Source organism: Homo sapiens, chromosome 8 (genome assembly GCF_000001405.40).
Source record: "Homo sapiens chromosome 8, GRCh38.p14 Primary Assembly".
Classification (NCBI taxonomy): domain Eukaryota; kingdom Metazoa; phylum Chordata; class Mammalia; order Primates; family Hominidae; genus Homo; species Homo sapiens.
The window spans coordinates 28069250-28094649 of record NC_000008.11 but is presented as its reverse complement, the minus strand read 5'-3'; the positions used below and the strand labels follow the sequence as shown (position 1 = coordinate 28094649).

Below are 25400 nucleotides of genomic sequence, written 5' to 3'. Positions count from 1 at the left end.
CCGCCTCTGCCTCAGCCTCAGCCTCAGCCTCCCAAGTAGCTGGGATTAGATTACAGGCACCTGCCACCACGCCCGGCTAATTTTTGTGTTTTTAGTAGAGACAGGGTTTCACCACGTTGGTCAGGCTGGTCTCCAATTCCTGACCTCAAGTGATCCACCCGCCTTGGCCTCCCAAAGTGCTGGGATTACCGGCATGAGCCACCGCGCCTGGCCAAGATCAACAACTTTTGAGTGCCCATTTCCTTGTCTGTAAAATTGGGGTAATACATCCAAATTTCACAAAACCATTCTAAGACTCAAATAAATAATGTATATGAAAGCTGAAATACCATTCAAATATTAGTTAGTGATGAAGGTGGGTTAGGAGGTTGGCGGCCAGAATGAAGAGGAATAAACTATATCAAGAAGTAATTTCTAAGTAAGAATCAACATGACTTGGTGACAGAAGAAACTAAAAGAATCCTGGTAGATTGAGAAGGAGCAAGTTAGAGTGAGATAACAAATTAATTTAGGGCATGCAAATATGACAAGACTTAATCTAAGGTAACTTGGACACTTAGAATTGTTGCTTGGAAGAAAGAAAAATAACAGTTAATGTCAAGAAGCATAGGGATTAACGATGTATTTATTTTTCATTTTATGTTTTTTGAGGTCACAGATACAGCCTGACCAGCCAGCTCCATATCTAAGTATAATTTTGGTCTGGGAAAGTTACTTAACTCTTTGAATCTCAGCTTCTTCATCTGTAAAATGGAAATGATACCGACTTCAAAATACAAGCTCAATAAATGGTAGCTATTATTCTGACAACAATTACCATGATTAGACCAGCTGGTCAAATGAAATAGGAACAGAACCTGTGAGATACAGAAATAGGAACAGAACCTGTGAGAGAATATTTCAAATTTGAATCCGTCCTGTTGAAAAACCAAAGGTGGAATTGTTCATTGCTAACTCATGATGTAATAAAAATGGGAATAATTGCATGCACAACTCTTACACTGAATCCAAGGATAATTAAGGTTTTTTTAATATCTTAAAATAAGGCTTTAAAAGAAACTCTCTAACACGTCAAATGTGTCGTGAAACAAATCTTAACAAATGAAAAGTCCTACAACCCGTTAAATCGACGTTAACTCCTCGGAGGGCATATATTGGAATAATGGTTTCCCTGCCATTCAAACAAGACACCACGTGACTGCCAAAGAGGAAGAGAGGAAGGGTAGGGTGCTTCAAAAAGCAAAACAGGAAAAACGAGAAGGCTCGGGGACCAGAATGGACACACTGACCCTAGGTGGCGGGGCGACTGGACTGGGTAGCGGATTCTCGCGGTAAAAGTTCGGTTCAGCATTTGATTGCCTGGGCGTTCGCCCCTTTCGGACCACCCCTTTCCCCCATCTCCTTCCCCTTTCGCACCTTTCCGCTTCTGCCTCATTTCTGCGCCGCCGTAGCAGAGCCACCAGAGATAAAAATGCAGCCACAAACTCAGACCACGGGGAAAGCTGACAGCCACAAAACAATCCCGCCTGTCGTAAAATGTCGGTCAATGTATCGTAAAGCTCTTCCCGGAAGCCGACGTGCACAAAGCCACGCCCCGCCCCGTGTTGCAACTAACAGGGTAGCAGGCGGCCCGTGAGGCCCCTAGGCTGCGATCCTGCCCCGGGTCTCAGGGATGGAGGATGGGAACGTCTGAACGGAGTGGCATCTTGGGGTTAGAAAGCTCGACCTGGGCAGTACAGCTATGGGACAGAGTTCCTGGATAGAGGCTGCGCCAGGAAGCCTAAGTGAAAGGGTGGAAGTGGATGGTCTCTCATGGGGGGGAGTGGGAGCCCAGGGTCGTCACATCCGGGGAGGGTGGGTGGGAACGCGAATGGGCGAGACCACGGAGGAGGAACCCTCCCATGTTGTGGAAACTAACTGAGGGCCTGGAAGAGACCAGGCGGGAATCGAGTAAGAATCCGAGGTGCAGGCTTTGGGACCAGGTGGTCACCTTGGTCTTAGATGAATGGCACATATGATCGGTAACCATCGTGAAAGCTGTGGATGTCTCTTGTGGAAGGAAAATAACATCTCGGGACCCTAAACTCTGCCAAAGAAAAAAGTTAAGCTTAGGGCCGGGCGCAGTGGCTCACACATGTAATACTAGCACTATGCCCATCTCAGGAGGCCAAGGCCAGCAGATCATCTGAGGTCTGGCATTCAAGACCACCCTGGTCAACATGGTGAAACCCTGTCTCTACTAAAAATACAAAAATTAGCCAGGCGTGGTGGTGCACGCCTGTAATCCCAGCTACTTGGGAGGCTAAGGCAGGAGAATCTCTTGAACCCGGAAGTGGAGGTTGCAGTGAGTGGAGATCATTCTCTGTTGTCCAGCCTAGACGACAGAGCGAGACCCTGTCTCAACAACAACAACAACAACAAAAAGTTAAGCTTGTGAACTGAGTCACGCAAAAACTGCCTTCCTTCTGTTCCTAAACAGCTGCAAAGACAGAAGCCCACATATCTCCCTAGGTGGCCTCCCAGAGGAGTTGCTCACAGGGAAATTCCTTGTGAGTGGCAGAGTCTTTACCTTACAACACTTCTGTTGAATTCCACCCTGACCATGCAAATTTACAGTAGGTAGGGGACAAGGACAAGACTAGAAATCACCCTTCAGTCCACCCCAAGAAAAATGCATATTTGACTCCTTCCTCTATGTTTACTTTGTCTTCTGTAAAAGGCAGATTTACTGAGTGTGAAATGAATGCATAGTTGTTCCTCTTTCCCCTTCTGTCTGCTCTTTCCCTTTAAATATTGAAGTCCTCAAAACCCTCTTTGGAAAAACCACAGGCCACAGATTCCATGATAACTTATGTCTCTTTTTCCTGGGTGTGTCCTCAACCTTGGCAGAATAAACCTCCAGACTGAGACCTGTCTCAGACACTGTTTGGTTTACGTTCTCCAGAAAAATACACAGGCACAAAATTTTGCAAAATTTGGAGGCAGGACTTGGGATGTTTTCCTGAAACCCATCTATGATCTCCTTTGTCCATGGGCTGGAGATTAAGAACCTCTCCCATTAATAAAGACAGGAATATGTACCCTACTAGAATTGAGGCAACAACGAGGCTTTGACCCCACTATGACACTGAAACTGGCCTTGCTAAGCTTTGTAACTTCCCAGCCTGCCAAGTTCAGTGGTATTTGTCTGACCTCATTGTCATCCTATACCAATGAACATAAGTTCTCCTCTGTAAACCGAAAATAATTCTCAGCCCAGGGCATTCCAAAGTTAAACTGAAAAACTAGCTCAGGCCATGATGGGAAGTGGGGTTGGACATGCCTCCTTATTCCCTCCTCCTTTTTAGAATTCAGGAGCTGCTAACCAGTGTTAACATCAACACAGAGACCTTAAGGCTGATAGAGCACAGAACCGACTCTTAAAGTCTGATAAGAAACATTTACGGCCGGGCGCGGTGGCTCATGCCTGTAATCCCAGCACTTTGGGAGGCCGAGGTGGGCGGATCACAAGGTCAGGAGATCAAGACCATCCTGGCTAACATGATGAAACCCCGTCTCCACTAAAAATACAAAAAATTAGCCGGGCGTGGTGGTGGGCCCCTGTAGTCCCAGCTACTTGGGAGGCTGAGGCAGGAGAATGGCGTGAACCCGGGAGGCAGAGCTTGCAGTGAGCCGAGATTGCACCACTGCACTCCAGCCTGGGCGACACAGTGAGACTCCGGCTCAAAAAAAAAAAAAAAAAAAAGGAAACATTTACAATCTATTCTCTCTGAAGCCTGCTACCTGGAGGCTTCCTCTGCATGATAAAACCTTAGTCTCCACAACTCTGTGTCTTAACCCAGACATTCCTTTCTGTTCATTTCAGGTCTATAGATAATAACTCTTTCAACCAATTGCCAGTCAGAGAAAACTGAATCTGCCTGTGACCTGAAAGTGTTGCCCCCTGACCCCACATCAATGCTTTGAGTTGTCCCACCTTTCTGGTTGTTCTCTGTGGGATATGCGTGAGGGGAGAAGAAAAGACACATACACAATACCTTTAAGGGTAAACGACCTTTATCCCATGTAAATGGCAATGCAGATATAATAAGCAAATTGCAATGGGAAGGGTAGAAGGGAAAGTATATGTGTATACACACACACACACACACACACACACACACACACCCACCCATCAGACTATGGAGGATTTATCACAAGACCAAGAAGCAACAGCCTGGGTTCCAGACTTGGACACTACACTCACCAGACTATGGAGGATTCACCACCAGACCGGGAAGCAACATCCTGGGCTCCAGAGTTGGGCACTACACTCACCAGACTATGGAGGATTCACCACCAGACCAGGAAGCAACAGCCTGGGCTCCAGAGTTGGCCACTCCTCCTTGCACAGATGAGGATAGGTCTCCTGAAGCTTCGGCTGGGCCTGGGACCCTAGCTCTTTTTGTAACAAGTTGTTTGGCATGAGGCCCAGTCACAAGGGCCCTTCACAACCAGGCTCAAGGAACACAAAAAGGTCAACTTGTTTTTGCTATTGTCTATTGTTTTTCAATAACTAATGTATAGGAATAGATTGAAATAGAGATTTCTCTGAAACAGCGCTGGATGAAAGCCTCAAGGGACTCACAAAACTTGTTCCAGGACTTGGTGACTATTGTTTGTGTCCAGGTTCAATTGAATTCAGATTTAATATTTAACTTTTCCTCCATGCTGGACCAAACCAATATACATCTTACATGTAGTAATGTCTTATAACTCCCTAAAATGTATAAAATCAAGCTGTAACCTGACCACCTTGGACACATGTTCTCAGGATCCCCTGGGGCTCTGTCACAGACCATGTGAGGTAGGAAGTGGGACTCTGTTCTGGAGGCAGAGTTTGGACACTGGATCAAGTTGAGGACTAGCTGAAACAGGGCAGGGGTGGAAGCAACTTTCCATAAGATGCCCACCAGTATGCCATGTCAGTTTACTATTGCCGTGGCAACACCTGAACATTACCCTCCCCTTTCCATGGCAATGACCTGATGACCTGGAAGTTACCATCCTCATTCTTGACATTTCTGCGTAAATTGCCCCTTAATTTGAATACAGTTAAAAGTGGGTATAAATATGACTGCAGAACTGCCTCTGAGCTGCTCTTCTGGGCACTGCCTGTGAGTAGCCCTGCTCGGCAAGGAGCAGTCCCTCTGCTGCAGCTGTGCACTGCTGCTTCAATGCAAGTTGCTATTTAACACCATCAGCTCACCCTTGAATTGTTTCCTGGGCAAAGCCAAGAACCCTCCCAGGCAAAGCCCCAATTTTGGAGCTTGCCTGTCTTGCCTCAGTTGGTCAATCATGGCTCAGAATAAATCTCTTCAAGTATTTTACAGAGTTTGACTCTTTTTGTCAACTCTTCCATGAACATCTTTTATGACAGGGCCCTCCAACTCTCTTGGTTTCTCTTCTCTTTCTTTTGTGAACTCTGTCTCTGCCTCACCTCAGAATACTAGTGTTCCATGGGGGTCACTCAGCCTTGTCTCTCCAAGGTGATCCCCAGAGCACCACGTGTTTGCTCCCAGGTTTCCAGTCCAACCCCAACTTTTCCCCTATTTGATATCTTGTTAGATTTGGGTGTCTAATAGGCATCTCAAACTTAACATGTCCCAAACAGAACTCTATTATTACTCCAGATCTGCTCTTCCTTATCTAATGGCACCATCCTCTACCTCTTCCCTGTTTTATCTCAGAGAGGGGAGGGAGATAGGTGGTTAAAGGTATAATTTTAAATAGGGGTTACAGTAGGCCTTATTGACAATGTGATATTTGAGCTAATACTTGATGTGTAGATATGTGGGAAAGAGTATTTCTGGCTAAGATAATGGTTAGTGCAAAGGTCCTAGGTGAAGGTCAGGCGCAGTGGCTCACGCCTGTAATCCCAGCACTTTGGGAGGCTGAGGCAGGCAGATCACAAGGTCAAGAGATCAAGACCATCCTGGCCAACATGGTGAAACCCTGTCTCTACTGAAAATACAAAAATTAGCTGGGCATGGTGGCACGCGCCTGCACTCCCAGCTACGCGGGAGGCTGAGGCAGGAGAATTGGGAGGTGGCAGTTGCAGTGAGCCTAGATCTCACACCACTGCACTCTAGCCTGGTGACAGAGCGAGACTCCATCTCAAAAAAGAAAAAAAGTCCTAGGTGAGAGGATGTCTGGGGTGTTCAAGGAGACTGAGGAGGCTGACATCACGGGAGCAGTGGGTGAGGCAATGTGAAAGAGAGGTCAGAGGAGTGGCGCATGGGACAGGGGGCAGTGCAGCTCATGTAACACCTTGTGGGCCATTGAAAAGCCTTTGGCTTTTACCCTAATTGAGATGGGGAGCCACTGGTGTTTTTAGCAGAGAATTGAATGGATCTGATCTGTAATTTAAAAGCATGTCTATTTGCTGCATTGAGAATAGACTGTGGGAGGGGGTTGGTGTGGAAGTGGGGAGATCAGGTGGGTGGCGGTTACCATAGCCAGGCCAATGATTCCCAAACTTTGCTGCAATTGGAATCACCTGGAGAGCAGTGAAAAATTCCCAGTGCCCAGATTACATCCCACACCTATTAAATCAGAATATCAAGGGGTGGGAGTCAGGCATTAGCATGTTTAAAAGATCCTGGGTTATTCCAACGTGCAGCAAAACTTAGGAACCACTGAATGAGGCCAGAGATTATTGAGACTCAAATCGGGGTAGTCAGCAGTGAAGGTGGTGAGAAGTGTTCAGATTCTGAATATAATTTGAAGATTTCAACAAGACTTTTTGACAGATCAGATGTGGAATATGAAAGGCAGACAGCAACATCAAATGTGACACCAAAGCTTTTTGACCAAGGGACTGGAAAAATGTAGTTATCATTAGATGAAATGGAGAAAATTAGGTGGAGAGGTGTTTCAAGGGACTGGCGGGGATTGGTTTGAACTTGTATTTTCGGATGACTAGTGAACAGGAAGACACGAAAGAGGTTGACACTGGATATCAGTCGAGAGCCATCGGTATGTGAACGAAATTGAAAGCTACGAAACAGGGTGGCTGTGGAAAGGAAAGAGACCGAAGATGAAGCCTTGGGGTATTTTATTATTAACAGGTTGAGAAGCGAGGGAATAACCAGTGAAGGAGACTGAGGAGCACTTCCAGGGAGATGGGATGAAAACTAGGGGAGTGGTTATCTGAAAGCCAAGTGTAGGAGGTTTGTCAAACAGGAGGGAATGATCAACCAGGTCAAATGCTCCTGATGGCTCAAGAAAGATAAAGGTTGAAAATTGACCAGGATCATTGTGGACTTTGACAAGAACAGCTTTAATGGGATGGGAAGGGTGAAGGCTTGACTGGAATAGGTTTATATTAGCTTGAGAGGAAAGGAATTTGAGACAGTAAGTAGAGACAACTCTTTTGAGGAGTTGTGGGGTTTTGTTTGTTTTTTTGGAGACAGGGTCTTGCTCTGTCACCCAGGCTGGAGTGCAGTGGTACAATCACAGCTCACTGCAGCCTCGACCTCCCAGGCTCAAGTGATCCTTCCATCTCAGCCCCTCAAGTAGCTGGGACTATAGGCATGCACCACCATGCCTGGCTAATTTTTATTTTTATTTTTTGTAGAAACAGGGGTTTCCTTATGTTGCCCAGACTGGTCTTGAACTCCTGGGTTCAAGTGATCCTCCTGCCTCAGCCTCCCAAAGTGCTGACACCATGCCCAGCCTAGGAGTTTTGTCATAAAGAAGTGCAGAGAAATATACTAATACCTGGCAGGGAAATGGAGGTCCAGGGAGTGTTTGTTAAGGTGGAATGAATGACATCAAATCTGTTCACAGATGGGAATAATCCAGTGGAGAGTGAAAGTTTGGTGAATTAGAGAAGAGGAGGAAGTACTCTACATGGTTCTTCAGTTAGAGAGAGGGATGGAATCTGGTGCACAGAGAAGGGATTGGCCTTTAATGGGTGCATGGATAGTTCATCTAGCAACAGGCTGGAGGGCAGAGCACCGGATAGGTGGTTGGGGGTGATGATGAGGCTCTGTGGACGGTCTCATTGCTTCAGTGTTTTCAGTGAGCTCAATGGAAATTCAGCCTGAGAGAATGGAGAAACATCTAACAGGCCTAGCATTCAGGCGTCCAATAGCAGGTGCCAAGGACTACCATAAAGAACCCCAGAGGCTGGACCCAGTGGCTTACACCTGTAATCCCAACACTTTGGGAGGCCAAGATGGGAGGATCGCTTGAGCTCAGGAGTTTGAGTTCAGCCTGGGTAACATAAGGAGACCTCATCTCTACTAAAGTTTTGTTTTGTTTTTGTTTTTCTTTTTTTGTTTTTTGTTTTTTTAAGCTAAGTGTGGTGGCACATGCCTGTAGTCCCAGCTGCTTGGGAGGCTGAGGTGGGAGGATCACTTGAGCCCAGGAGGTTGAGGTTGCAGTGAGCCGTGATAACGCCACTACACTTCAGCCTGGGTGACAGAGTGAGACCCTGTCTAAAACAAACAAACAAAAACAAGCAAACAAATAAAGGAACTCAGGAAGCTTTATTTTTTTATTTTTTGAGATGGAGTCTCCCTTTGTCGCCCAGGCTGGAGTGCAGTGGCCTGATCTTGGCTCACTGCAACCTCTGCCTCCCATGTTCAAGCAATTCTCCTGCCTCAGCCTCCTGAGTAGCTGGGACTACAGGCACACACTGCCATGACCGGCTAGATTTTGTATTTTTAGTAGAGACAGGGTTTCACCATGTTGGCTAGGCTGGTCTCAAGCTCCTGACTTCAGGTGATCTGTCCACCTCGGCCTCCCAAAATGCAGGGATCACAGGTGTGAGCCACTGGGCCTTGCCCCAGGAAGCTTTAAAAATGCTCAAAATTAATTTTAATAATTAAGTAATTTAGTAGCATTTGTGGTTAACTGTTGAAGCTAAGAAATAGCCAGTAGAGGGAGAGCTGAGCACACGTGACATGAATGTAAGCGTAAGGTGTGATTTTGCCTAGAGAGATCAGTATAAGACTCAGCATCCAGGATGGCATTTGTGCTGACTTTCTTTGTTCTGAACTTTAGCCTGGTGTTTCTGTGGTTTTCTTATGGAGGAGGGACGTCATCTTGCCAAAAGTTCAAAGCAGTTTTTAAGACCACAGTCTAAACATTTATCTTCAATTCTTTCCCTGTTCTGACCTCTTTACCTTCTGAATCCCCTCTTCAGACTAAATACATACCTAGAGTACTGAGGGTTGTCTTGGTAATGACTGAGTTGGCCTTTAAAGGTAACATACACCCTTGGCCCAGCACAGTAGCTCATACCTGTAATCCCAGCACTTTGGGAGGCCAAGGTGGGCGGATCATATGAGATCAGGAGTTCGAGACCAGCCTGGCAAACATGGTGAAACCCTGTCTCTACTAAAATTAAAAAAAAAAAAAGTCAGGCATGGTGACGCACCCCTGTAGTCCCAGCTACTCAGGAGGCTGAGGCAGGAAAATCTCTTGAACCCGGAAGACGGAGGTTGCAGTGAGCTGAGACGGCGCCACTGCACTCTAGCCTGGGTGACAGAGCAAGACTGTGTCTCACAAAAAAAAAAAAAAGGTAACACACACCCTGAAGCTGAGGGTTCAAGGGACAACTTTTTCCCTGTATGTGATGTGATGGTTTGGGTTGCCAGACACAGCAAAGTGGAGTGGGTTTTATTTTCTTCTCTCCTGGACAGCACTTTCAAATTTTTGTTTTCTGGGTTTATTAAAAATATGAATTTAAAATTAGATGGGCGTGATGGAGCATGACCATGGTCCCAGCTACCCAGGAGGCTGAGGTGGGAGGATGGCTTGAGCCTGGGAGGTCGAGGCTGCTGTGAGCTATGATCACGCCACTGCACTCCAGGCTGGGTGACAGAGCAAGACCTTGTCTCTAACTAAATAAAGACATAAAAATATACGGATTTAAAATTTAAGTTCCAGAAAGAGGTGTAAAGCGGTATATCACTCATTTCTACACTCAAACAATCCAATGTTGTTTTATTTTTGGCAAATGTTATTTTTGGTGAATTTTAAGACTTTGGGTCAAGAATAACTTTATATTTATTATCTCATATCCTCCATCTCTCCCAGTCATGTCTTATAGTTGGGTGTCGGGGAGCCAGTGCTTTGTCTGTCTTGGAACTGGGGCATTTTTCCTGTCTGCTCCAGTGAACCAGTCATCTGAATATTGTTCACCCTCAGAGAAAAGATGCTGTGGAAGGATGCAGTGATGCACTTGGAAAGGAAAAAAGACATCTGTCTACTTGTAGGAACATGGCAGAGAAGGGTGCAAGATCCCCGTTTCATGTACCATTTAGATTTTTTTTTTTTTCGAGATGTAGTCTTGCTCCATCATCCAGGTTGGAGTGCAGTGGCGCGATCTTGGCTCACTGCAACCTCCACCTCCCAGGCTCAAGTGATTCTCTTGCTTCAGCCTCCTGAGTAGCTGGGACTACAGGGTTCTGCCACCACGCCTGGCTGATTTTTTTTTTTTTTTTGTATTTTTAGTAGAGTCAAGGTTTCACCATGTTGGCCAGGCTGCTGTTGTACTCCTGACCTCAAGTGATCTGCCTGCCTCAGCCTCCCAAAGTGCTGGGATTACAGGAGTGAGCCACCGTGCCTGGTGAATTTAGATTTAAGTGAAAGAAGACAGAATAAATCAGTATCTGTGGGAGGAGACCATGGTAAATAGCTCCCTGATGGCAAGTTGGTTTCACTTCTGCTGTGTAAACGTGGCTTTGTGATTGTGGCCCAAAGGGCTACGTACCCCAGCTGGTTCCAAATACCTGAACCAAGGAGAAGCTGCCACCATCTCCTCTGTGGACTCCTGTAACCAAACCAGAACTTTTTTTTTTTTTTTCTGTTCAGTGACATCTGGTAAGTTGTTTCTTTTATGTAATTTGTACTGTAACTTGTGGTTGATTTTTTAAAAATGGACCTTAATTTTTAGAACAGTTTTGAGTTTACAGGAATATTGAGAAGATAGTTTAGAGCATTCCCATGTAATTCCCACCCAACTTCCCCATTATCTTGTATTAGTGTGGTACATTTGTTACAACTGATGAACCGATACTGATACGTTATTCTTAAACTAAAGTCTGTGCTTGATTCAGATTCTTGGTTTTTATCTAACGTCTGCTTTCTACTGTGGCATCCTATCAGGATAGCACATTATATTTAGTTATGTTCCCTTAGGCTCCTCTTAGCTGTAGCGTTGTTTCTCAGACTTTCCTTGTTTTTGATGAATATGGCAGTTTTGAGGAGTACTGGTTGGGTATTTTGTAGGCTTCTCCTATTGGCATTTGTCTGATGTTTTTCTCATTATTAGACTGGAGTTATGGGTTTTGGGGAAGGAGTCCCAGAGTTAAAGTGCTGTTCTCATCACATCATATCAAGGGATAATATTGTCAACATGATTTAGGACTGTTGGTGTTGACCTTGACCACCTGGTAGAGGCAGCGCTTGTCTGGTTTCTCTGCTATAAGGTGATCCTTTCCCTGCTCCAATCTCCGCCGTGTTCTCTTTGGAAAGAAGCTGCTATGCACAGCACACACTTAAGGAGCAGGGAGTTTTATTCTACCTCCTTGAGGATGGAGTAGCTACGTAAATTATTTGGAATTCTTCTGTATATGGGACATTTGTCTCTTCTCTCTCCTTTGATTTTCTTAAAGCAAGTTATTTCTTGAGGGAAAGTGAATTTTACTTTTCTGTTTGCTTAAGTGAATTTTGGGGGTTTGGTTTGTTTGTTTTTGAGGCTTCGGTCTGTTACCCAGGCTGGAGTGCAGTGGTATGAACATGGCTCACTGTAATCTTCACCTTCTGGGCTCAAGTAATCCTCCTGCCTCAGCCTCCTGAATAACTGGGACTACAGATACATGCTGCCATGCCCAGCTAATTAAAAAAAAAATTGTAGAGATGAGGGTCTCACTTTGTTGCCAAGGCTGGTCTCAAGCTCCTGGGCCCAAGGGATCCCCTCTCCTCTCAGCCTCCCAAAGTGCTGGGATTACAGGCATGAGCCACCATGCTCAGGCTGTTTAAGTGAATTTTAAGGCTATGTAAAAAGGCCAGTGGGCTAGAAATGGGGAGAATCAGGTTTTAGTTTGAATTTTACAGAACAGTGTGATCTTAGGCAAGTCATTAATCATTCCTCCCAAAAGAAAACAGCTATTGCAGAAATTGCTGGCAGGTGTATGAATTCCTGATAAGGAGGGAAGTGTCATCTTATGCCTCATTAGCTTTAACAAGCTTGGGAGAGCAATATGAGAAGATTCAAATTCGTTTCGCTAGAATCTGCTAAAGTACGTTATGAAAATATCTGCTTATTTTGCTTACCTCTTTACCTAGGGAAGAAAGATGGAGAAAAACATGTCATCCTAAAGCCTCCCTTCTACTACGACTGCTTCTGGTGGCCACATTTCTAATTCTGAACACATTAGCCGATGTGTTAATGCTGAAAACATACCTCTTTTCCTTTAGAGATTTGGAGGCCCTTGTTTCACTTTTGCTTCTGAGCTAATGTGTTTAAATTGCTGCCTTGGGACATCCCTAGTTTGGAAGAGCAGTGCAGTGGCCAACGAGGTGGTTAGGAAATGTTGCCAACACCAAAGTTACTTAAACCTAAACCCAAACTCAAAGAGAAAGGAAATAAATTCTAAATTTCATCAACATTCTATCATTTCATTAACAGTCTCCTCCTCTTCCTTCTTTCATTCTTCAGCTCACCTTCTTGTGAGAGCAAGAAAAAACTTGACCAAAGATTGTTTTTTTTTTTTTTGAGATGGAGTCTCACTCTGTTGCCCAGGCTGGAGTGCAGTGGCATGATCTCAGCTCACTGCAACCTCCGCCTCCCGGGTTCAAGCGATTCCTCTGCCTTAGCCTCCTGAGTAGCTGGGACTACAGGCATGTGCCACAACGGCTGGCTAATTTTTTGTATTTTTAGTAGAGACAGAGTTTCACCGAGTTAGCCAGGATGGTCTCAAACTCCTGACCTCATGATCTGCCCGGCTCAGCCTCCCAAAATGTTGGGATTACAGGTGTGATCCACTGCACCCAGCTGATCGAAGATTCTTTAAGGAAGATGGTAGAGCATCCTCAATGTGTTTGATCAATAGGGACAAGAACGGGAGTCAGAATCTCAGCTAAGGTGGCATCTGTTCCCCAAAGACTAACAGACGTGGCCTGGATGACACTAGTACTGATTTCTAGTTTAACTACCTTCATAAAATATTCAAAAAATAACATTTGTACAGATGCATAAGTGCCTGCAGAGCAATTTTGCATTCATTATCACATTTAATTCTCACAACGAACTCTTTTTTATTTTTTATTTTTTTGACGTGGAGTCTCGCTCTGTTGCCCAGGCTGGAGTGCAGTGGTGCGATCTCAACTCACTGCAACCTCTGTTTCCTGGCTTCAAGTGACTCTCCTGCCTCAGTCTCCCAAGCAGCTGGAATTACAGGCATGCTGCACCATGCCCAGGTAATTTTTGTATTTTTAGTAGAGACAGGGTTTCACCATGTTGACCAGGCTGGTCTCGAACTCCTGACCTCAAGTGATCGGCCCACCTTGGCCTCCCAAGGTGCTAGAATTACAGGCATGAGCCACCATGCCTGGCCAATGAATTCTTGATACAGGTATTTTTTTTAAAACCAATTCTATCCTATATGTGGAGAAATAGAGGCTCAGAGAGATCAGGTGATTTGCTCTGTGTTGCATTGAAGATTGGGAGCAGGAGCAAAAATCCAGGCATTCTGACTCCAAATCCCTAATAATTTTTGCTCCACCATTCACATCTGGAATATGGAAGCCCTTTGTTTGCAGATACTGTGACCACATTGTTTCCTGCTGTACCCCCAGTATCTAGAACAGTGCCTGGTGCATCATAGGCACTCACAAATATTTGTTGAATGAATGGATGGATAAATAAAATAGTAAATATAATTTCTGCTATTCTTGATCTTACCATCTAAGATATATATCTATATCTAGATCTAGATAGATCTATCTAGATATAGATACAAAAAATTATATCTATCATCATTCATTCAACAAATTATTTAGTGCTTGCTGTGTACCAAGTACTTCCCATATTTATTAAAAGTAGAGAGTAAACCAATGTTAATGACCAAAATGCCCCTTTGAGAAACTTTGCTAATTTAAGCATTTAAATTTAAGTAAGTAAATAGTGTTGGCAAGGGTTAATGATGCGAGGCAAGGTAGGGTGAAATGAGATTCTGCCTAAGGAGAATAACTAGGGGAAAAGAAAAGGACATTTGTCATTTGTAATAAACACATTGAATTTTGCATTGAACACAGAAAAAATGCAGTGAAAATGTATTCCTCTGATAGTCTCTCTCTCTCTCTCTGGCTTGTTTTACTTCTGAGGGTGTCTTCAAGTTTGCAGGCAGTAAGGTTGGGCATGGTGGCTCATGCCTGTAATCCCAGCACTTTGGGAGGCCAAGGTAGGCAGATCACCTGAGGTCAGGGGTTCGAGACCAGCCTGGCCAACATAGTGAAACCTTGTCTCTACTAGAGATACAAAAATTAGCCGGGCATGGTGGCAGGTGCCTGTAATCCCAGCTACTCGGGAGGCTGAGGCAGGAGAATCGCTTGAACCTGGGAGGCGGAGGTTGCAGTGAGCTGAGATCATGTGCCACTGCACTCCAGCCTGGGCGATAGAGCAAAAACTCCATCTCAAAACAAACAAACAAACAAACAAAAAAACAAAGAACAACAAAAACAAAAACAAAAAAGCAGTTTGCAGGCAGTAGCTTCAGCTTCAGTTCCTGCATACAATTCTATCAAGTTGCTACTCTCTCTCCCCACTCAACAGCCTTCCTTCTCATGAAATGCCTTTGCCATGCATTTGAGGGAACCCTCCTTTGCGGGCACTACTCCTTCCATTGCCCTATGCCTGAGCTCCAGGGGGCTTGTTTAAATAGTGCCTATTAGAGGCTGCTGAATGTGATGAAAAGAACATTGAACTTGGAGTCAGGAAAACTGAGTTTCAGCCCTCATTGCCATAATCTTACTATGTGACCTTGGACAAGTTTCTTCCCCTTCCTGGTCCTCAGGGTCTGGATCTGTAGAAGAAGGGGCCCTAGCATTCTTTTTTTTAAGACGAAATCTCGCTTTGTTGCCCAGGCTGGCAGTGGCGTGATCTCGGCTCACTGCAACCTCCACTTCCTGGGTTCAAGCAATTCTCCTGCATCAGCCTCCTGAGTAGCTGGGATTACAGGCGCGTGCCACCACACCGGGCTAATTTTTGTATTTTTAGTAGAGATGGGGTTTCACCATGCTGGTCAGGCTGGTCTCAAACTCCTGACCTTGTGATCCACCTGCTTCAGCCTCCCAAAGTGCTGGGATTACAGGCGAGAGCCACCGCACCCGGCCCGCATTCTTTATTCAATGCCATGATATGCAGCTGTTCTAGTACAGGAATGACCTGCGTTTGTGTTGCCTCTGTGATTTTCCTGTAAGAAAAAAAACAATAAGCAAACACAAACAGAAGAAAAGGAGGGGGAGAGAAGCAAGAATAACTGTGAAAAGTTACAATTATTTATCAGGAAATCAGTTCTGTGCAGCCTTCCTATATCTAGCTGAATGTGCACAGTCTTATTTAAAAGATGCTATTCTTAGGTTCAGTGCACATGAATGTAAATAAGCACTAAAAGCAAAACTTCAGTGCTAACCACATAGCTGAAATACAAGCAAAATAAACCACACAGGCAGAACCTTGCTTATCTGAGCAATAAATTTGGACTGTTATCAATTGCTTCTCCACAGAAACCAAATTTTCACAATGAACACCACCATTCCTTCCCTTTGGGGGGAAATAGACTGCAGGATGATTTGAAGAAGGACTATACTCCTGTAGCTCATTTTCTCCTTAATACAATGCACTTGAAATCACAGTGCTCTTGGTGTACTGCTCTTGGCCACACGGAAGCCCTAATCATTGGTACGGTCTCAGTTTCAATGACAGGTGACATTTTCAAAATGAGAATTTGTGTCTTTTTAGCACCCATCTAAATCAGAGAACACTCACACTTTAAGGACTAGTTCAGTCTTTGCCTTACACATGGGAAACCTGAGGCCAGGGTGATAAAACGACTTGTCTTAAGTCCTCCAGCTTTATTGATGGGTGGTAAAGCTGGAGCTGGAAGCTTCCACACCAGATTTCCAGCCTAATGTTCTTCCCACCTCATCATTTAGTTCAACCCAATGACTATATACTGAATGTCTGTACCAAACTACCCCCATTTGTTTATCGCTTTTCCTTTTTATGTACTTGGTGTTTATTTTCTTCTGTCCTCTTAGCCTTTTTGCAAATGATCCCTTTCCATTTGCTAGTGTTTTTGTTTGGTCATCAAATGATCCCTTCCTGCCAGTCTTTGAACATTGGCCAAAGGAATTTGAAGCCCAATCCACCACAACCAAACCACATAATTTCCAATGATTCCAAATTTCAGTTAGAGTTCACAAATTACTTGTATACAGAAACCATAGATGCTGCTACGGAGGAAGTTGTGTGGTTTTCTGTCTTCATTGCATGCAGCTAAACCCAAACCAACCCCAGCTAGTTACATGCTAACGGCCCTTGCTGGACACTGTGTACTGTTGATTTAGTAAATGAAGTCAAATGAACTAAAGTTCTTGTGATTCTGAAAGAAGCCAAAACTACTACCCGTATTCCAGAATTCAGTGACCACAGCTGCTTCTGCTCTAAACTCAAGGCCCTTTGATTTTGTGCCCTTTAATCCACAGCTCTCTCAATTGAAGGTCCCTAATCTTAGTGTCTGTATGACCACGACTCTTATCAACTTGGTCTATCAGTTCTTTTGTACTTTATCCGGCTCCACTGTTTCCTCCTAGAATTTGAATTCCAGCACACCAGCTGTCCTGGAGGTCGACCATGGATTTGTTCACTGGTTGTATCATACATTTTGTTTTGCTTCCAGTGCTCACTGTGATAATATGATGCCTAGCATTTCATACGAGTTACTCCTTAAGCTGCTCTCTTCAGAAAACAACAGATCTTTTTCCTAGGGGTAATCCTAGTTCTGTATCTAATTTTTTTTTTTCTTTGAGACAGGGTCTTGCTGTCACCCAGGCTGGAGTGCAGTGGTGCAATCATAGCTCACTGCAACCTTGAACTCCAGGGTTCAAGGGATCCTCCCATCTTAGCCTCCCAAATAGTGGGTACTACAGGTGTGTGTCACCACAACCGGCTACTTTCTTTCTTTTTTTTTTTTTTTGGTAGTGTCAAGGTCTCACTTGATTGCCCAGGCTGGTCTCAAACTCCAGGGCTCAATGAATCCTCCCTCCTCAGCCTCCCAAAGTGCTGGGATTATAGATATGAGCCATCACACCCTGCCTAAAATTATTGACATGCATTATGGTATATTTACTCATGTTATAGCCCATCTACCTTTTTTTTTCTTGTAGCTCACCTAGGTTTTGATGTGTGTCAGCATTTCTGACTCAGTATTCCAAACCAGAAATTGCTTGTGCCTCTTGTGAAATTTGGTGACCTCATAGGGCACTTCTACTACCAGCTTTCTTGGTGAAAATTTCAAGTAAGAACATAGAATCTTGGGATTTGAAGAAGGCTTAAAATTTATCTATCTCAATGTCGTTATTAGGTGGTCATATCAATATAGGTTCAGACACCTCTAGAGGCAGAAAACTCACGGTTTCCTAAGGGAGCTCATTCCATTTTGGACAACTCTGATTAGTTGAGAATGTTAAACCAAAATGCTTTCTTGTACCTGCCACCTAGTGGATCTATTTCTACCCTCTGGGAACCCTAGAAAATATGCAGGATGTCTCTTTTATTTGCAGCTGTAAGGTAATGCATTTGAAGACCACCATGAAGGCCCCTGCCCCCATCTTCTGCCTTTACCTGTGTCTTCCCTACCTCACATCAAATATTCCTCATCCCCGTGGAGCAGTCCTCACTGTGAGTGCCGCTTCATTTGCATACTTGACTATTTATTTCTACTCTTTGCTTTACTCTTCAATCAAGGACTCTAACATACCAAAAATGAATTCAGGGCCAGGCATGGTGGCTCACACCTGTAACCCCAGCCCTTTGGGAGGCTGAAGTGGGTGGATCACTTGAGTCCAGGAGTTCAAGACCAGCCTGGCCAACATGGTGAAACCCCATCTCTACTAAAATTGTAATTAGCCAGGCATGATGGTGCAATGCCTGTAATCCCAGCTACTCTGGAGGCTGAGGCAGGAAAATCGCTTGAACCCAGGAGGTGGAGGTTGTAGTAAACTGAGATTGTGCCGCTGCATTCCAGCCTGGGCAACAGAGCAAGACTCTGTCACAAGCAAACAAACCACCAGACCAAAACAACAAATTTAGCTTTTAAACATCCTTTGGTGTGGAATCTCATCAAAAGCTTCCCATCCATTATGTTATCCATTCATTCAGCTAACGTTTAGTTAGTCATTGCCCTTCTTGATAGAAATGCACCACTGAAAAAAATGCAGTCCTCTGACCTCGAGTGGTTCAACCAGGAGGAACAGACGTAAGCACAGCACAGTCAGTGTTATAACACAGGTGTGTATGGAGCCGGGGACACACGGGGGGAATGAGTGGGAATCAGACACCGTTTCACAGAGGAAACACTAGAACAGGATTTTGAAGCAAGAGCAGGAATTCACCTGCGAGAAGAAGGGAAGGGCACCCCACATGTGCTAAAATGCTCAGCAGTTCAATAGGATACCCTGCTTTGGAGAACTGTAAGGAGTGTGGGATGATCTGAAAATGGGCTGCAGAGGGGAGGAAGGGAGAGGGAAAGAGCTCTACCTAAGACTCAGAATCTTGCACTTAATAGGGGTTCTCACCCCATTCACCCAACACCCACCAAATACAGAAGCCGTTTAGTCAGTTAATATCTGCAAACCAAACTAAGAGTAACTGATGAATGGTGATTTTAATTTGGGGTTAATGTGTAAATGAGACATAGTTTCCCTAAATAACAGCCTGTGGGTCTAGTAGGACAGATCAAAGGTGATTTTGCATATTTCAGAAGGGCTGGTGACTCTGCTTTTGAAATACACGGCTGAGTGATCCAAACAGAAACATCAGGTAACGGCAAGTAAGCACCTTGGGTGTTCCCCACTCGTGTTCCTCAAATTCTTCTCTATGGGTGGAGATGAAGCAGCTCCAGGCTAGCAGATTCTACCCTGTCTGGGCAGTGCCCTCTGTTCTGAGCCTCCACGGGTCCAGTTCTCCCTCTATGTCCAAGCCCTATCTGCTGGTGGACTGGAGACCAACTGGATCTGCCCCTTCTTCTTTTGGATGTGCCTCTCCTCTCCCTCCTGCAGATGCTCCATGCTGCAAGCTGCAAGGAGAGCCCAGGAGGGGTGTCCTCCTGGTGGAAGTTGCGCTTGGTGAGGAAGGTCCAGGGAACCAAGTCACTGCATCTCCTTCCCCAGTCAGCAGCCCCCCAAAGCAACTCCAGGGAACTCTAGGAATATCTAATGTTCCACCTCCCAGATTCCTGCTGAGACTTTCTGGAACTAAATAGCACTGGCTCAGGGTTCAAGCCTTGCCCCAGTGGAGCACTGATGCCACCCAAAGCAGCGAAGCTATATAAATTCACCTTCACAGCTCTGGTCACCAGAGGCTTATTCTCATTTCAGCGTGAGTTACCCTAAAGCTCTCAGGTAATACTGGTTTAGACTCTTTTTTTTTCTCAAGACAGAGTCTCGCTTTGTCATCCAGGCTGGAGTGCAGTGGTTCCATCTCGGCTCACTACAAGCCCCGCCTCCCAGGTTCAAGAGATTCTCCTGCCTCAGCCTCCCCAGTAGCTGGGATTATGGGCACCCACCACCACGCCTGGCTAATTTTTGTATTTTTGGTAGAGACGGCATTTCACCATGTTGGTCAGGCTGGTCTTGAACTCCTGACCTCAAGTGATCCTCCCGCCTTGGCCTCCCAAAGAGCTGGGATTACAGGCATGAGCCACTGCGCCTGGCCTAAGTATTATTGGAAACCAGTGTTCAAACACTAATCTTTGTTATATTTCCATCAAGTAGTGTACTAGGTGTTGTGAGGGATTCAGAGATACGTTGGAATGGGCAGAAATACCGCACAAGCAGACTGACACATCCTTAGGGTTTGCTTTCTGTATTTTCAAATTCCGCTGCCCCACCTGTCTTTGTACTTTGTCTTCACAGGCTGGTTCTCCTGAACTGAGAAGAGCAGGAGTTCACGTAACAAGGAATGGCAGAAACGAAGGATGTTTTTGGCCAGGAACCGCATCCAGGTAACATCTTTGCAGTATCTTCTGATGGAGGATATAGGAACTGATTACTGATATAGGATAAAAGGCAAATAGGTTGGGACTATATTTCACTGTTGTCATTGTTCCTTACTCTTTATTCAGAAGGTGCTTTCTCGTGACAAGTTTAAATAGTGAATGAAGATCAGATATTTCAACAGTAACTGAAATAACCTGTTCATAATGAAGTGAACTGTTTGGCCAGCAGTTAAATAAGTGCGGCTTTTTCCTTAAAAAAAAAAAAAAAAGTTCCAGGCTGGGCATGGTGGCTCACACCTGTAATCCCAGCAATTTGGGAGGCTGAGGCGGGTGGATCACATGACGTCAGGAGTTCGTGACCAGCCTGACCAACATGGTGAAATCCCATCTCTACTAAAAATACAAAAATTAGCCGGGTGTGGTGGTGTGTGCCTGTAGTCCCAGATACTTGGGAGGCTGAGGCAGGAGAATCACTTGAACCCAGGAGGCGGAGGTCACAGTGAGCCAAGATTGTGCCACTGCTCTCCAGCCTGGGCGACAGAGTGAGACTCCATCTCAATAATAATAATGTTCCAGAAAGTCAGCTTGGACTCTCTGTCCAAGTCAGGTAGCCTGTCTTACAAGACCCCTGGAATGACGTTAGGCGGCTTTCCGTAGAAGGAGAGATGTAGGTGCCTTGGAGCGGCTCCTGGAAGGGTGACTCACATTGGAGTCAGTGCGGGTGGCTTCCCTCCCTCAGAAGGCTGGTATTGCGCCCCTGGAGCCAATAAGGGAGGCTTCCCTATAGGACGATGACAGGGATATAACCCCCAGTTGCAGAAAACAGTGGCGTATCATATCCTTTGTGTTTTGAGAACTGAAGAGGGAATGTTTCCTCACTCCGAGGGGATGGATTTCCTTAGGGGCAAAGTGCAGCAGTGTTTCTGGGTTAGTGGGGGTGATGCTAGCATCTGAAGCAAGCCTGAGCAGGCATATAGGAAGAGCTGCCACTTTGGGGTCACCTCAGTTGAGCTTAGCCTAGAGGAATGGGATCGTTTTGCTTGGAAGATTTCTGGCAGTTTCTGGCAATGGTCTGAATCATGTCTGTAATCCCAGGACTTTGGGAGGCCAAGGCAGGAGGATCTCTTGAGCCCAGGAGTTCAAGACCAGCCTAAGCAACACAGCAAGACCTCATCACTGGAAAAAAAAAAAAAAAGAAAAAAAAATTAGCCAGGCGTGGTGGTGAGTGCCTGTAGTTCCAGCTACTTGGGAGCTGAGGTCGGAGGATTGCTTGAGCCACGGAGGTTGAGGCTGCAGTGAGCCGTGACCCAGCCATTGCACTCCAGCCTGGGCGAGAGTGGAGACCTCGTCTCAAAAAAAAAAAAAAAATTTCAACAGTCAACAATGAAACCGCATCTCAGCTCAGGCTGTTGGGGGATCAGTTTTCAAAACTGACACCTTGTGGCAGCAAGAAGGAACAGCAGCAGTATACTACGCTTTTTGGACTGCCGCTATCCACCCCAACAGCTGGTTTCTCGGTGGAGAATGCTGGAAAGGGCAAGGAAGGGCTTGAGCGATGGACAAGAATAATAAGATCTGTGATCTAAATTCGGACAAGTTTATTTTGGTTACAATCTAATATAAAAATACTACCCTCGTATGGTATAAATCCAAGATGGAATACTTTCTCCTTTCCAGATAGTTTTGCATTTTAGAAATTGAAGAAAAAGTTTTAAACCCTGCTGTATTGGACTTCCTAGCATTTGCTTTAGTTGAGAAATAAGCTTCCAAACTCTTATCAGATTCGTTGCCAGTCCTTACAATGTTGAAATAAGGGCCCTGGATGTGTGGACTTGGCCCTTGTTTTATACACATGGCTAAGAGATTAGGCAAACATTGTTTACCCAAAAGAGTTCCTGAGTTACAAAGTCTACATCCCTTTCCACTCTTTCCACAGACAGGTTGTGGACACATCCTGGAGTTCTGAGATGCTTTTTCGAGCACAGATTAAAGTGTTCTTCAGCCGGTAGCTGGCCTAGGGGCCTGACCAGCAGACTTCTTTCTTTGCCTCTTCCTCTCCAGCTCCAGCCACCAAGCCAGCAACCACTTGGTATTTAGTTCTAAGGCAGTCCTCAAACCGAGCCAGGGCGAATTCTTGAATTTGAGCTCAATCATCAGTTAGAATGTCTGAGAGGGAAGGGTCGAAGTATAACCTCTCTCAACTCTCAGTTGTGGCTTGAGCGTGGAGCATGAGGTGGCAGAGATTCAGGCCTTGGCAAATAGCATGGCTTGCACTAGAATATTCTACGGGGTGTGCGTTGGCTTCCATTTCTACTGGAAGATGCAAGGTTGAACAGAGAGGGAGGGCTGCCTGAATTGTCTGGGAGATCTGTGTCTGGAGCCCTCAGGCAGAGACTGGGCCTTCTGTGTGGGCTGCCGTTCTTGGATGCCACGTGACATTTCTTCTCTGTGATTCTGCAGGGAATGACCTCAGAATGTCACACTCAGTTTTGGAGCCTCATGGCCTCCCTGTGATTCTTGGGGATCTACTCTTTTGGTTCACCTCATGGCCATTTTCTAAGGTGCAGGCCAGCCCCAGGAGCCCTGGGTTAGAACCATTTTCAACAACCTTCACCCCAAAGATCCACCTCTTGCCCCTTTCTAGCCAGGTAAACATGACCAGGGGGTGTTTTCTAAAATCCATCTAAAACACAACATTTTGGTTATACCCCTTCTTTAGGATGATGGGCCCAACAAGCCCTTCACTTCATAACCAAGGGAAACTGCTTAAGTGAATGAATCTCCGCAGAGCTACAAAGATCTGCTTCTAGGTGATTTCTGTTCTTGCTTATTATGCAAGGAAGCAACTGCTGATGTCTCCAAGTGAAGAAGGGAAAAAATTTCCCCAAATTTTGAAGGATCTCTGAAGGGCATCCATCCAAACTCTTGTAATGCATGTGTATTTTTTTTGTCAGTTCTCTCATTTTCCAGATGAATAAATTGAGGCTCAAGAAGATGTGATTTTTTCTGGTCACCTGGCCCCTGTTTTCCTTTGCATTCTGCTTCTAGTCGCTTTCTTTCCTAGTCTGGAAAGACCTCCCAGAGGCCTTTCCTCACTGCACACTTAACCCCGTCTTCAGCTTTTCTCTACACAGTTGGTTGATTTCCTAAGACTTGGCATTTGGTGAAGAATGTCCAGCCACTTTGGCTTCTGAGGAGTTGCAAATAGAAACTATTTATCTGGGGAGATAGATTGAACTCTACATTTTGGAACTAAATGCAGACAGTCTTGTGACTCTGAGAAGTAGGAACCAAACTGGAATGATCCAACAGTGTTTTTTCCCAAATGAGTTTATGGGCAGACAGAGCTGGAAGCAGTTCCTATTTTTTTATTTTTTTATTTTTTGAGACAGGGTCTTGTATGACCCAGGTTGGAGTGCAGTGGCAAAATCATAGCCCACTGCAGCCTACAACTCCTGGGCTCAAGTGACCCTCCCACTTCAGCCTCCTGAGTAGCTAGGACTACAGGTGCACACCACCACACCTGGCTAATCAAAAAATATATATATATATATTTTTGGTAAGTTCGAGACCAGCCTGGGCAACATACAGAAACACTGTCTCTACAAAAATTTGCCAGGTGTGATGGTGTGTGCCTGTAGTCCCAGGTACTCTAGAGGCTGAGGTGGGAGGATCACATGAGCCTGGGAGGTTGAGGTTGCAGTGAGTCGTGATCATGCCGCAGCACTCTGGCCTGCTGGGCAACACAGTAAGACCCCTGTCTCTACCAAAAAAAAAAATTTTTTTTTGAGACAAGGGTCTTGCTGTGTTGCCCAGGCATGTCTCGAACTCCTGACCTCAAGCAATCCTCCCACCTTGGCCTCCCAGGCATGTAATCCCTCATGCTTCAGATTACAGACATGAGCCACTGCACCCAGCCAGTCTGTTAGACCCTTTGAGTTTCTATGCTGATAGAGGTGAGGCAAGAATACCATACCCCAACACCTATAATCTTATATATCCTCTGTTTATCTCTAGTTGAAGATGATTTATATAAAGAACGAACGAGAAAAAGAAGGAAATCAGATCGAGACCAGCGGTTCCGAGCATTTCCCTCCATGGAGCAGAGTGCTCTTAAGGAATGTGAGTGTCTTGGAACTGTTGTTTTAACATGGTTCGGTTCTGTTCCAAGTATGTTAAAATGGTCAAAGGAAGAGGAGGTTAAATTCTGAAGCTGGATGAAACATCAAATAAACCTGTTTTGGAAAGAGAGGGCTCAAAGTCTCTGTAGCGGTATGCAGTTAGGCAATTTGTCTCCAGGCATCTGTGGGCAGGAGGGTTGTTATCAAAATAACTTCTTCCAGATTAGAACAAAGCCTGTGAAAATGATGAGGTTGGTGCTTCCGTGGGTGTCAGCATGGTGTCCTTGCATTTTTTCTTTCTTTTTATGACCACAGGAGGGAAAAATCTAGAAGGGGCTGAAGCCCGTGGCCAAGCATACCATAACTTCTGTTACCAGAGTTTCAGAGCAGCCTGGCTCTTTGGAGATTTTCAGAACCAATGATTGCTATCTCCAGTGAGCCGCCATCCCTCGTGTGAGATAACCTGCTATCTTGTTTAATCGGCTTTTCATTTCATTTTTTTTTTCCCTTCTCTGCGATGTTCAACAGACACCTCCTTTGGAGACCTAGTACTTTATCCCTGCCAGGTACCTGCAGGTGACATCTCTCTGTTAATTCCAGATGAAAAATTGGAATCACGGACCAGAAGGGTTTTGAGCAACACTTATCAGAAACTTATTCAGTCTGTCTTCCTGGATGACAGCATCCCTAATGGAGTCAAGTATCTCATGTGAGTCTGAAATCTGCAACCCTGAAATTTTATGTCAGTGTCTTTCCTTAGGCGATTATAGGTGCTTTCCCCCAACAAGGAAAGGGACTATTTAATTAGAAACTAAGAAAAGAGGGACACAAATTTCTGTAGCTATGGGATAGTTGCCATTCATTGAGCTGTCACTGTTAGGTAATCTGCTAAGTGCTTTATATATGTCAAATATCATTTAACCCATCCAACACTCCTATAAAGTAGGAGCTATTATGATCACTTCCATTTTACTGAAATTGAGGCTCAGAGAGGCCCAGATGT

The 25400-nt window shown here is 45.1% G+C and overlaps 2 protein-coding genes across 12 annotated transcripts in view, besides 4 other annotated features; one reads left to right on the top strand and one right to left on the bottom strand.

Annotated features, from left to right (window-relative positions):
• Nucleotides 1–4418, bottom strand: part of ELP3 (elongator acetyltransferase complex subunit 3) — a 100922-nt gene extending 96504 nt beyond the window's left edge. For 5 of the 7 annotated variants that reach the window (NM_018091.6, NM_001284226.2, NM_001284224.2 and 2 more), the window contains exon 1: nucleotides 1417–1511. In NM_018091.6, the coding sequence (NP_060561.3) occupies nucleotides 1417–1435 (19 nt within the window). In that variant the 5' untranslated portion in view covers nucleotides 1436–1511. Of the gene's footprint in view, nucleotides 1–1416; nucleotides 1512–4246 lie in introns of those variants that run through there. The other 2 variants (XM_024447184.2, NM_001284222.2) reach the window with 2 other exon arrangements.
• Nucleotides 1377–1930: an enhancer, noted in NCBI's record as "H3K27ac hESC enhancer chr8:27950237-27950790 (GRCh37/hg19 assembly coordinates)". NCBI's record gives its function as "activates a minimal SCP1, AML or CMV promoter by ChIP-STARR-seq in naive H9 embryonic stem cells {active_cell/tissue: H9 hESC(naive)}" and the evidence as "EXISTENCE:reporter gene assay evidence [ECO:0000049][PMID:30033119]".
• Nucleotides 1836–1885: an enhancer, noted in NCBI's record as "active region_27161". NCBI's record gives its function as "activates an Ori minimal core promoter by ATAC-STARR-seq in GM12878 lymphoblastoid cells {active_cell/tissue: GM12878}" and the evidence as "EXISTENCE:reporter gene assay evidence [ECO:0000049][PMID:35858748]".
• Nucleotides 4419–10713: 6295 nt separating the features above from the next.
• The window catches only part of NUGGC (nuclear GTPase, germinal center associated), a 61973-nt gene continuing 47286 nt past the window's right edge, over nucleotides 10714–25400 (top strand). For 3 of the 5 annotated variants that reach the window (XM_011544523.3, XM_017013403.2, XM_011544526.3), the window contains exons 1-4: nucleotides 10714–10875; nucleotides 20194–20282; nucleotides 24294–24398; nucleotides 24926–25106. In XM_011544523.3, the coding sequence (XP_011542825.1) occupies nucleotides 20240–20282; nucleotides 24294–24398; nucleotides 24926–25106 (329 nt within the window). In that variant the 5' untranslated portion in view covers nucleotides 10714–10875; nucleotides 20194–20239. Of the gene's footprint in view, nucleotides 10876–17299; nucleotides 19100–20193; nucleotides 20283–24293; nucleotides 24399–24925; nucleotides 25107–25400 lie in introns of those variants that run through there. The other 2 variants (NM_001010906.2, XM_011544524.4) reach the window with 2 other exon arrangements.
• Nucleotides 15427–15556: an enhancer, noted in NCBI's record as "active region_27160". NCBI's record gives its function as "activates an Ori minimal core promoter by ATAC-STARR-seq in GM12878 lymphoblastoid cells {active_cell/tissue: GM12878}" and the evidence as "EXISTENCE:reporter gene assay evidence [ECO:0000049][PMID:35858748]".
• Nucleotides 18939–18998: an enhancer, noted in NCBI's record as "active region_27159". NCBI's record gives its function as "activates an Ori minimal core promoter by ATAC-STARR-seq in GM12878 lymphoblastoid cells {active_cell/tissue: GM12878}" and the evidence as "EXISTENCE:reporter gene assay evidence [ECO:0000049][PMID:35858748]".